General features: G+C 44.4%; 1 protein-coding gene and 1 long non-coding RNA gene across 8 annotated transcripts in view; one reads left to right on the top strand and one right to left on the bottom strand.

Annotated features, from left to right (window-relative positions):
• On the bottom strand, window positions 3,770-6,554 carry LOC124905176 (uncharacterized). The gene is made up of 2 exons (XR_007068212.1): window positions 5,663-6,554; window positions 3,770-4,040 (listed from the first exon to the last, which is right to left on the bottom strand). It is a non-coding gene; the product is annotated as an uncharacterized LOC124905176 (long non-coding RNA).
• SRPX (sushi repeat containing protein X-linked) overlaps window positions 6,591-12,066 on the top strand; it is a 71,533-nt gene continuing 66,057 nt past the window's right edge. For all 7 annotated transcript variants that reach the window (XM_047442564.1, NM_001170750.2, NM_001170751.2 and 4 more), the window contains exon 1: window positions 6,591-6,766. In XM_047442564.1, the coding sequence (XP_047298520.1) occupies window positions 6,670-6,766 (97 nt within the window). In that variant the 5' untranslated portion in view covers window positions 6,591-6,669. The remainder of the gene's footprint in view (window positions 6,767-12,066) is intronic.

Genomic DNA, 12,066 nt, shown 5'->3' with positions numbered 1-12,066 from the left:
CACTATTCTTATACTGTCTTTATCTTCTTTGATCTTGACCTTGAACATTCTTACTTTAACCCCCTCAGAGCTAGATTTTTCATTTTTTAATTTTCTATTTTAATTTCTGAAATACATGTGCAGAACTTGCAGGTTTGTTACATAGGTATACATGTGCCATGGTGGTTTGCTGCACCTATCAACCTGTCATCTAGGTTTTAAGCCCCGCATGCATTAGGTATTTGTCCTAATTCTCTCCCTCCCCTTGTCCGCCCCCTACTCCCGACAGACCCTGGTATGTGATGTTCCCCTCCCGGTGTCCATGCGTTCTCAGAGCTAGATTTTTAATATATATGCATGAGCACAAGCATCAACCCAACACACCCTACTCGTCTGGCATTCGTTTCACATGATTTCAATAGACTCAGGTCAAATCATCTTGCCCTTCTATTCTTGAATTCTTGAAAAGTCTGATACATACTGTAGTTTGTACTGACGTATTATGTGAAAGAGTAAATCCACGATAACTGTGCTACTCACAATGTGTTCCCTGGACTGGTGCTGCTTTCTGAACTGTTTTGTACTGGTCCACAATTAGATACGTACAGAAATGGAGAGTATGACCTTAGAGACTGTGATAACAATTTGATAAAATAATTTTACTTCTGCTGGGCATGGTGGCTCACGCCTGTAATCTCAGGACTTTGGGAGGCCGAGGCGGGTGGATCACCTGAGGTCAGGAGTTTGAGACCAGCCTGGCCAACATGGTGAAACCCCGTCTCTACTAAAAATACAAAAAATAGCCAGGCGTGGTGGTGGGTGCCTGTAATCCCAGCTTCTTGGGGGGCTGAGGCAGGAGAATCACTTGAACCTGGGAGGCGGAGGTTGCAGTGAGCCGAGACTGCACCACTGCACTCCAGCCTGGGCAATAGAGCGAGACTCCATCTCAAAAAAAAAAAAAAAAAAAGAAAGAAAGAAATAATTTTACAAATTATTATTATTATTTACAAATAATAGATTTGTGGAATCTAATGAGAGAACCTTGAACTTTTGCTTTGTGTATGTCTTTGGCTTGTTTTCTCTTTTATTTTTCTACTTAGTCATCTTTACTGATTTTACCAAAGCATGGATCAATGATGGATTGGACATTAAAAAAAAAAAAAGTCCTTTGCCACAGGTAGTTTGAGAAGAACTGCCTTAGAATGAAGCACTCCTAAATATCTCTTTGACTTTTACTCTACTGGCAATCCATTTCCCAAGGTACAGTGAGCCACCACATTTCCCCTTAAACTTCCATCACTTTACTGTGAAAGGATACAGAAAGAAAAGAACTGGGTTTATTAGGGAAGCAGAAGTAGAGTAGGAAAGCCAGACTAATGCCATTTTAAGTTAACCTCCATCTTGAGACTAACAAGGCACATTCCTTGCCAGTCATGACCCATGGTCATGTTTATATTTAAAGAAACAGCTTAATGATATCTGCAAGGACATATTCCTACAGCAACAGAGTATCCCTATGTCCCAATATCCATAACAGTATATGATTTCAAGTTCATTATAGTTATGCTTTAATGTACTTATGTCAATTATGATGTATTTATTTATTTATGCTTTTATGTATTTATAGTATTGCTTTGGTGTATTTATGCCAATTATGATGTATTTATTTAAGATGTATTTATCCTTGGCATCCTAAGTGCCAAGGATAGTTTTATTTAAATCAGCGAAGTAATACATTTTGTCATACTTTCAGCCCACCCACATGTAGACATAACTTAGCTTAGCTTTTACATAGATAAGACCCCTAAACAAGAAAAACTTAAAACAAAGATGAGGCATTCCTCTTCTTGATTTCTGAGGACACCCTAATCTGTAACTGAGTAGCTTTTTATAAACTGTCTCTTCTCACTGTACTCTGCGACTTCCTTTTAACTCTTTCCTGCTGAAGATCCAAGAACCCATTCTTGGGGATCCCTTTTCCGGCAACAGCTTGAGAGGGCTGGGAGAATGAGGAGGCATGGGAAAATGGGAGGGGCATAACGGGGCTTTGATTCTTAGAAAATACCTCTCCTGCAGTACGTAGATGGCTGCCAGGGTCTCTTTCAATGCTGTCTCTGAGTCGACAAGCTCAAGGAAGAAAGTTGGGGGCAGGGAGGTGACTCTTGAGAATCCTTTTCCTTCCTTGTCTCCTGGGGCTCACTCTGCTCTGACTCAGGGGACAAGACTGTTTTGTTGACTACAACCTCCTCAACACTGCACAGAGTGGAAAGATACCTCCCTCCTCCTGCCAGACTTTGATGTCTGTGTTCTCTTCTTCTCACCTCTGGTACTTTGCCCAGTACTCAGGAATGCTTCAGATGACAAGACAGACACTGTCTGCATGCACCTGAGGTGCCTTGGAGACTTAGCTTATAGGCAAATAGATTGCACTGTCGTAGGTTGTACTGTGAAGCCACTACTGGCAACTCCTACTCTGTATCGGTGTGATTTTTTTTTTTAAGAAAACATTTTCAATGATCTGTTTAATTTAAATAAGAAATATCATTACATGCTTACATATTTAAACAGTACAAAGGATTGTACAGTAATAAAAAATTATTTCTCCTACTGACTTCCCCATACCCTGATACAGTATCATGCCTTCCCCATACCACAAATGGTAGCAAGATATGTGTATTATTTTGCTTGTTATTTCATTAAACAAAATATGTGAGACTACCTTTCCTACTGATGCATATGCATCTTGTTCATTCTTTTTAATGGCCACATAGTATTTCGTTACATAGGTATGCATAATTAATAAAATAATTCCCCATTAATGGATATTTACATTTACAAAAATGTCACCAACCTTTTGTTACTATGAGCAATGCTGAATAAAACCTTATAAACACTTCTTTGCACAGATGAGCCTGATGCAGTGGGGAGACTACTTGGCTTTCTAGTGATTCTTAGATTCTTCATGTGTGATTGGTTTTTGAGATCTAACATAGGACATCATATTTATCCTTGCTGTCTTTTAATGTTTCAATACAGCATGCCTGCCTAGAGAGATGTTTGGAATCTGTTTCTTGCCCTCCTATCTTCATGTCCTTTGCCAAAAATATCTTTTTCTAGTTCATAAATAGTAACATCAAGCAGGATAGGAATGGTGTCATAGCTCTGTGGCACTCCCTGAGTGACTTCTCTTTGTTTTCATCAACTCATTAACCCTTAAGTTATTTGACAGATTATGAATCTATTTAACTATCTGATTGTCTTCCAAGATATTGTGGGATTGGGATGAATTGACAACCTCTTCCTCTACCTTACCTCTACCCTCATCTCTTCTATCAGAGAGAAAACTGGAATAAAAATAATAAGAAAAATAAAAGTCCCATTGGAATTTTCTCTATAGGGTAGAAAAGAGAGCAAGAGACTTTTTTTCCTCATTCCAGGCTCTTATTTTATTTTTTCATGTTCATATTAGTTCTTCCAAGGGTTTATATCGAATACTTCAAGCTTGTCAAGGAAAAATAATGGTTTCCCAATATTATATCTAATTGTGTTCCCTATTACTCTAACCCACGTGATTTATATACCTTATACATTTTGACAACAATGGCATTCCTTTTAGTATTCCCACTAGGTAAGAATACCACCTTGTTCTCTCCCCTTTATCTTTGTTAGGTAAAAATGAAAGGGTTATTTCGATTTATTGATACAAGAGGCAACTGAACTTGGATCTGTCCTTCAAGATATCCTTGCACAATGAAAACAACAAATGTTATTTTTCTCTGTAAACATTATATAGAGATGTTTCTTCAAGTCTTTTATTTTTGTTTATTTTTTTAATGGACACATTGTAAATGTACATATTTATGGGACCCCCATATCTACAAAAAACACTTAGCTGGCCATGGTGGCACATGCTTGTAGTCCTAGCTACTCAGGAAGCTGAGGCAGGAGAATTGCTTGAGCACAGGTGTTTGAGGCTGCAATGAGCTATGATCATGCCACTGCACTCCAGCCAGGAAACAGCACTCCTTCTGGATAAACAAATTCAAATTCAGAATAAGACCCTGTCAAAGAAAAAAAAAAAAAAGAAAGAAAGAAAAGAAAAAGAAAAAGAAAAAATCAAGTCAGTATTTTTTTTTTTGAGATGGAGTCTAGCTCTGTTGCCCAGTCTGGAGTGCAGTGGCACAACCTCTGCCTCCCAGGTTCAAGTGATTCTCCTGCCTTGGCCTCCCGAGTAGCTGGGACTACAGGTGTGTGCCACCACTCCCGGCTAATTTTTGTATTTTTAGTAGAGATGGGGTTTCACTATATTGGCCAGGCTGGTCTCAAACTCTTGACCTCAAGTGATCCGCCTACCTTGGCCTCCCAAAGTGCTGGGATTACAATCATGAGCCACTGCACCAAGCGTCAAGTCAGTATTTTGCGTGACCATCACCTCATCCATTTCTGATTTCTTTCTTTGTGGTGAGGACATTCAAAGGCCAGAGAGCAAGTCAACAGTAAGTGTGGTGTTTCTTGTAATCCAGCCAGAATCAGTGGATAGAAGTGAGCTAGAAGTTCCTTCTCAGCCCAGTAATAGAATGTATACTGGTTGTGGTGAAGACACATTGCTTCAGAGGTGACATAGGAAAGGAAGGCTGCTGGCCAGGCTATCCTGGACCTGGAATTTGGGGTGCACATTAACCCTTGTTTACAGACCTAAAGAAGTAGTTCTCTATTGGGGGCATTTTTCCCCTGGGGGACATTTGGCAATGTCTGGAGACATTTTTTTGGCTGCCATAACTGGGGAAAGGGGGATTGCTAGTGGTATCTGTTGCATAGAGGCCATCGATGCATCTCTCAACGTGCAAGGCAGTCCCCCTCCCCAAGAAAGAATCATCTAGCCCCAAATATCAATAGTGCCCAAGTTGAGAAACTCCTGGTCTAGAATTTTTATCCTATACTAAAACTTATACCGTGGAGCTTAGCGGATTGGGGAGAGACAAAAATATGCATCTGGTCAAACTCCAGGTCACATTCCTAAAGATTCTGATTTTATTAGTGTGAGGTAGAGCCTGGATATGGTATTTTCATGAAGCTCCCCAGGTGACCCACATAAACAAGGTTGAGAATGACTCCCTGGAAAGTCTGGTCTGATGGAGGCCACAGAATAGACTGACCTCCCCCATTTCCTTGCGACTAGGGGGTTATTTAAGGGTTGTTGGTTCCCTGAAGAGGTAGCAGCAGTGGAGAAACCCACAGGAGATGGAGCGAAGTCCCCCCAAGTGCTAGAGAGGGTAAGATGGACGTTCAAGTCTGGGGCTTTTGTGAGAATTGGGAAATGGCACTCCTTCTGGATAAACAAATTCAGAACTTCTAGGTGAGTGCCCCCAGGGCTCTTAGCCTAGCTATCAGACCAGACTACTGTGGCAGAGAGAAAGATGCCCTTCTAGTGGATGTGGCCCCTGCCAAGACGCAAAGCTCCCTGAACCCAAAGGCATTTGGATTTTGGCTCCCACTTGCCCCTTCCTCTGGATGCCTTTGTACAGTGCCCAAACTGCACAACCTAATGCAGCAACTCCAACTAAAATTTGCCTTAGCTAAGATCTTTCTGAGACAGCAAAGGGGCAACGTATTGCCTTACTGATTTAACAAGAACTAAACAACCAAAACAACAAACAAACAAACAAAACTATGAGAGGCTTACTCAAATGCCTCAAAGAAACCAGATCCGTCCTGCGGGCAGCCTAGAAACCCTGTCCTGATGCCAGGATCCAGCGATGCCAAGCCACAGGGAAGAGGCTCCAGTCTGGTCGTGGTATCTTTGGGGTGGTTGAGAACAACCCAGGAAATGAGGAAATCTGGCTGCAGGAACCTACAGCTGGATCCCCATGGCTGTGGGTGAGACAGAGAACTTTCTGTGCCTTGTGCTCTCCCATCAGCTGATCCTGGAAGGAGAACCTCAAGCCCCATCCTAAACCGCAGCAGAGCAGGCACGCACCCGGTCCAGTCCTTGATTTATTCCTTTGCAAAAGAGAAACAAACTAACAAAAAATCTGTAGTATGGACTTTGACGTCGGCAGAACTACACACCTAAGTTCCAGTCCCTGCTCTGCCAGTAACGGGGGTGAATCTGGGCAAGTTTCTAAGCGTCGGTGTCTTATTGGAGAAAGTGGACATGGTAATAGCGAACTTGGGGCATGGTCGTGAGGATCAAAACAGAGAACATGGCCATAGTATCCGGCCGCAGTGGGCCACTCTGAATCCCCTCGGTTGCCCCTTCTGTTTCCGTGTGACTCACGCAGCTTTCTGCACAGATGGTATCCTTCTAGACGTCTGGGATGTTCGAGGCGGTTGTATTGAATACCGTGTGTGTATTCCGGGTGAGGGGGCGCGCAAATTGGGGCAAAGAAAGCTACTTCAGGATATTTCGCTCTGCTGGGGCTTGTCTCCAGCGCTCTCTGGCCAGAAAAAGCGCTGGCACAAAAGGAGGAGGTGGGTGGGTCAGAGCCCCGAACCGCGCAGTGTTCCAGGGGGGGCGGAGAAAGGAGGGCAGGCCCCAGGCAGGAAGGAGGGAGGGAAAGAGGCGAGAGGAGGAGTTTTCCAGCCCGGCCTTCGCCCGCCCGCTAGCACGCAGTCCCTTGGTCTCTTCGGTCTCCTGCCGCCCCCGGGAAGCGCGCTGCGCTGCCGAGGCGAGCTAAGCGCCCGCTCGCCATGGGGAGCCCCGCACATCGGCCCGCGCTGCTGCTGCTGCTGCCGCCTCTGCTGCTGCTGCTGCTGCTGCGCGTCCCGCCCAGCCGCAGCTTCCCAGGTAGGATCGGAGGCGTGGCTGCCTCCTCAGCTGGGCACCAAAGACCCCCGGAGTCGCCGTTGGGACCCTTCGCTCGGGATAGAGGGAGGTGCCGGGGGCGCCCTTTGTTTGCGCAGAACTCCTCTTTCGCAGCCCGAGGGTGGGGATGATGCGGATCGGGGCTGGTGTCTGGGCACGCGCCGGGAAGAACTGACCATCCCATCTCCAGGCGCGGGGCGCCCTCGCGGCGACGGGAGCCCTAGCACCTTCTGCGTCCGGGCTTCCAGAGTTCCAATCAAACCCTTTTCGGTGTAGGAGGCTCCACAGAGAAAGTTTGGCCGCAGACTAGTTTGCTACTTTCTCACCCCCAGAATTTTGCCTCTCACATGGTTGCCCACTGGAGGCTGGCAGCTTGTCCTGGAAGGAGCCTCTATGCCCTCCCACTACACGTCCCAGGCTACCCCCTTGGGGCCGCAGGACACGAGCCACGGTAAAGCGACTTTTGTGGAAGGCACGGGCGGGGCCTCCCCTGAATCTCTTAACCCCCCCTGCTGGGGATTCCGAGAAAGTCTGCGCCTCTGAGGAAGAATTGCCAGCTGAGAGTGGTGACATGTGGCATGCACTTGATTAGCCCCAGGGAAAGAGGGCTACTCGCGCAAGGATCTGCTGGGCAGAGGGTGCGGCTTATTCCTGGAGGGCGTGGTCTCCGGCATCTAAGGGGGCCCTGGTGTTTCTTGGGGGCTCTCATGGTGTGAGCAAAATTCTCTTTGGAGATGCACTTTAAAAAGCTCCAGCTAACTTCCTCACCCTGGAGTCTTAGGTTAGCGAAGAGCTTCAGGGGAGTAGGGCAATGTGCCATGCACTCCTGTTGCCTCGGAATGGAGAGGAAATCCATGGATGCGTTTTAATTTAGTGTTAATGGGAAAGTGGGTGACGTCGGCTATAGGGCGTGCAAATATTTGGCTCTGCGTTCAACACCGTGGGCAGCTTAAATCTAGGGTATGAGAAATGAACCTACTGAGTTCTGGTAGAAGGATAGAGGATGCCCATCTTTCTAGCAGTGTGCTTGGGAGATGTAGGGATGGCTGCGGGAAATTCTCTGCACGCACCTAAATAAATGAATGAATAGAACAAATTTGTAAATTAATAAACAGGAACATTTGTGTTTTGAGCTGACTCTTAAGTTTTAAGCTGCTTTGTAGGAACTGATTCAGGGTAAAGTGGAAAGGAAATTTTATCCTTACTGCCAGGCAACTGTTATTCCCATGGTGTGTTAATACCTCCTCTCCCACCCCCTTTAGCAGGAATCAGGTTAAAATGAACCTGTAGGGGAAGAGGAAGTCATTAAGCGTCCCAGAAGCAGCTTTCTGGGAGCGGGCAAATAAGGTGAGAAGCTAGAGGTAGCTTTTCCGCACTGAGTTGGGAGGTGCCTGTGAGCTGCCTGGGAACCTCAACTTTTAGTTGAGCCTTTCTCAAGCTGGGGACCCCTTCTCCTTTTCCATCCGACCTCCCTCCGTTCTCCTCCCCTGCCCTCCCCTCTCCTTTCTCTCATCTTCCACCTTTATATAGTACAGCTTGCTACCAGGGCCCAGCCACAGAATCATGAGTTCGCCAGTTTGGGCATTCACTACCACCTGTCTTTTGGGACCTATCCCTGGCTTTCCTGGCTCCCTCTGCCAGCCTGCAAGCTGCTCCCAACTTTTAGCCACCATGTTCCTGCTTGCCACCACCTCCACTGACTCCTAACCTGCCCTCCGGCTCTGCTCAGACCACAAATGAGCTGAAGCTGATTGGAGCTGCTTGATAAACACTCCTCTTGAGCCTCCTTTTGGCATGGCTCAATGGGGTCTCTTGGGAAGTGTGCTCCGCTGAGGTTGTGAGATCCAGAGGAGGGGATTTCAGTCCAAGCCAGAGGCTTTGGAAGGCTGGGGAGGGGAAAATCTCTAGGCCCTTGGGTCTGAAAGCAAATCACATAGGCTGAGTTCACTCTAAGTGCTGGGTGACAAATTTTAAAGATCATTTCAGAGACACTCTCTTAGCAAGTGGACATCATATCTTCAGTAAGAGAGAAAGTGAAGGACTTGAATCTGGAACTTCTGAAAGAAGATGGAGATCTAGGGCTCCATCAGCAAGTCGATTATGTAACTATCTGCACGTGAATAGCACATCTGTCAGAGTGAGAGTAAATCATTCTCATTCCCACTCCTAGAAGGTCTCTGGAGTTCTTCCATCTTAGAATTTAATGCAGCTTTTCTGGCTCTCTGATCTATTTTTTGCAGCCTAGCAAAGATGCAGTGTCTATAAAAACCTACATGAAGTGTATGGAAAATTTGTAGAAAAGTTGTTTGTGTTTGACTGTGTTTGTATGCTTATAACAGATGAGAATTTAGATTCTGTTCTTAAAATAATTCTTAGAGCTGTATTTGCATGTGAGATAGTGGTGGTTCACTCTGCCTCCTTCTGCAAACAAGGCTGAAGATGGAGAATGAGTACCATGGCCTCTAAGAAAGGCTTCGTGAATCTTACATCTGGAGAAAACTGGTAAAGTAGCGTGGTTTTACTAGTCAGGAAAACCAAGTGAGGTTTGCTAAAAGCCAAACCAGACTACATCAGCTGAAGCAGTCTTTTGAAATACCACATTTGGAGATAAGTACTAGGAATGGAGCACCTAGCTCAGGTTATATAATTAAGGTGTCACCGGGAACAGGCTAGGAATTCCTATTTAGATTTAAAACATGTAATCAGCTGACAAAAGTACTCTGCAATGAAAAGGAAATATGCTGGGGAGAGCAGGTCATTTTCCTCTGGCATTTTCTTCATTGATAACACTTTCAGTACAGTACAATGTTGTTTGTTAGTTACTACTCATTTCGCAGATTTGGGAGCTGAATGAGACACCAGAAACCATTGTTAAAGCAGCGTCTTCACATCTTCCCACCTCATCAGTCCTCGTACCATAACCAAAGTGCTGCTTTTCTCTTTTAGATTATTGCTATAACATTCTCACTTTTGGTCTCTCTAATTCTAGCTCATTTTACTTTCTCACTTTAGATAATGGTCTTTTAAGTCCATTGACTTTAGTACTGTTTTTTATCACATCACTCCCTTACTCAAAAACTTAGGGCAGCAGGTCCCTGTTCTCACTCAAGTAAAAAGTTCTCAGTTGTTTTTAGGGGGCTACACAGTTTGCTTCTAGCCTAATTTTCCAGTCTTTTCCCCCTGGTTTCCTAAAATCCTATCCTTATAGAACCTGAGTCACATTTTCCTTCTTGGCAGATGCTGCTTTCTGTACCTGGAATCCTTCCCCCTTGCCATTTGTCCAAATTCTGCCCATCATCCAGCAACACCCCCACTTTGATGAGACCTTTTCTTGATCGCTCCAATGGGAAGCAACGTGCCTTCCTTTTAACACCCATGGTCTCACTCATGTCTCTTATATTTATCACATATATCACATATTTGATAATGCTGTATATTATCATAATTTATGCACTCTTCTTCTTGTAGATTTTAAGACCTTGGAGGCAGGGGCCGTGCTATGTCTTACCCTTATTTGTATTTCCCACGGTGCCTAGCAGAGCACTTTGTGCCACATGGATATTTGTGCGTAATGGATTAACAGTGCCTGTAACTCCAGTGATGGGCCATTGGACAGGAAAGGAGCTGAGGGAAACATGTGCACAGGTACACAGGGCTTTGTGCCACCATGAATCTACATACATAGAAACGATGGCTTACTGGATACAGAGGTTCCTTTTAAATATACGAACACTCTCTGTTTAAGCAATAACCTTCTCTGTTGGGGGCTGTAAGATGAGAGACTGACTGCAACCGCAAGCTGGAGTTTGCATTTATTATTTTTGTTGGCCACCTTGATCTGTGCCTTTCCCAAGTGGTTGAATGGTTTCCTTAGTAAACGCAAATATGTGTGCTACGTCAATTCCCCTTTCAGAGAACACAACTGAAATTAGTAATTGAAAGTGAAGAGAGAATTTGAACAGAAGAAGGTTTAGTTTTGCCAGGCTATAACATAGTATGAAATTTGTAGCAGGCAAGTTATGATTAATGCCCAGGTTAGAGATTCGCTTCCAAAATAGCAGCGTGAATAATAACCTCTCCCAACTTCCAATTCATAGGGAGTTTCTCAAACCAGCCCCTCAGTTCTTGACTGTGTGATGTCTTAACTGCTAACTTTTATGGGCCATTTGTTTTAGGAGGGTGGTCTTTTAAGCCTGAATCTCTGGGAAATTTGGGTTTAGTTCTGAAATAGAATCAGTTTCTACCTTTTCTAATAAATCCTGGGCTCTGCCCAGAGACTTATTTTTAAAGTGAACACTGAATGATGAAGCATTTATGTGCTTGGGAGACCACGATGAAGAAGGTATGCAATTTCTTCTCTCTCGTAGCTTTCTGTCTTGTGGGGAAATAGAGACATAGTTATTTCAGGTGGTCAATGTTATAATACAATTGGATTGACAGGCCCGGGGAGCACAGAGAGGAGCTATGTGGGAACACTGGAATTGGTTATTGAAGAATGATGCTGAGACTTGCTGGTGCGGAGATGGTGGCACTAAAGGCCCAAGAAAAGTGAAAGTAGAGGATGTGTGGGCTTCTCTAAGAATGTTTTGAAATTGGAGACAAAAATCTGTGTGAGTGTCCTTTTTCTGGGGAGACGGCTCTATCCCGATTCAAAACCACTAGTTACTAGAGCACCTTCATGAATTCTATGAGAAAATATGCACTTAATGGGCAGAAAAATCAACATACAGAGTAAGATGAAATTACCACAGTAGGTAAACTTTGATTGAACCAGTGAGCAGGTGGCCTTTCCAGTTACAGCCAGCTGTATAGTTTCCAGTTATTTTCATTTAAAAAGCAGTACCAAGCAAAACAGATGTAATCGTAAATTGTAATTGCCTTCAGGCCTGGGCTGGTAACTTGCTGTACCCCCCTGCCCCACTTAGTACACAGTGTGACTTGGGGGAGGATCTTTAGTCAGTATTTGTGGATTAATTGATTGAAGTAATTGTGAATCAAAGTATTCCATTTCAAATCTCCCCTGTAGGATTTAACCAGAATTTCCAAGATGACACTTTCCTGAGAAAACGGATTGCAAGATAGCTAAATGTCAAAGGAAATTTGTCCATTTGGACAGGCAACGAATCAGGGCATAGTTAATTGCGAAGGCTCTTGGATGTCAAATCACCGTAAGACATTCTAAGAGACTTAGAAACTCAAGGGAGTTCTGGGGGCAGGATGTGCAGATAAAGATTTAGAGGAAAAGCTTGTGCAAGAGAAAAGTCCTTGGTAGCACTGCTAAG

This window comes from Homo sapiens, chromosome X (assembly GCF_000001405.40).
Source record: "Homo sapiens chromosome X, GRCh38.p14 Primary Assembly".
NCBI classification, from domain to species: Eukaryota; Metazoa; Chordata; class Mammalia; order Primates; family Hominidae; genus Homo; species Homo sapiens.
Note: the sequence above shows the minus strand (reverse complement) of the source record. Positions and strands in the feature narration are given on the sequence as shown.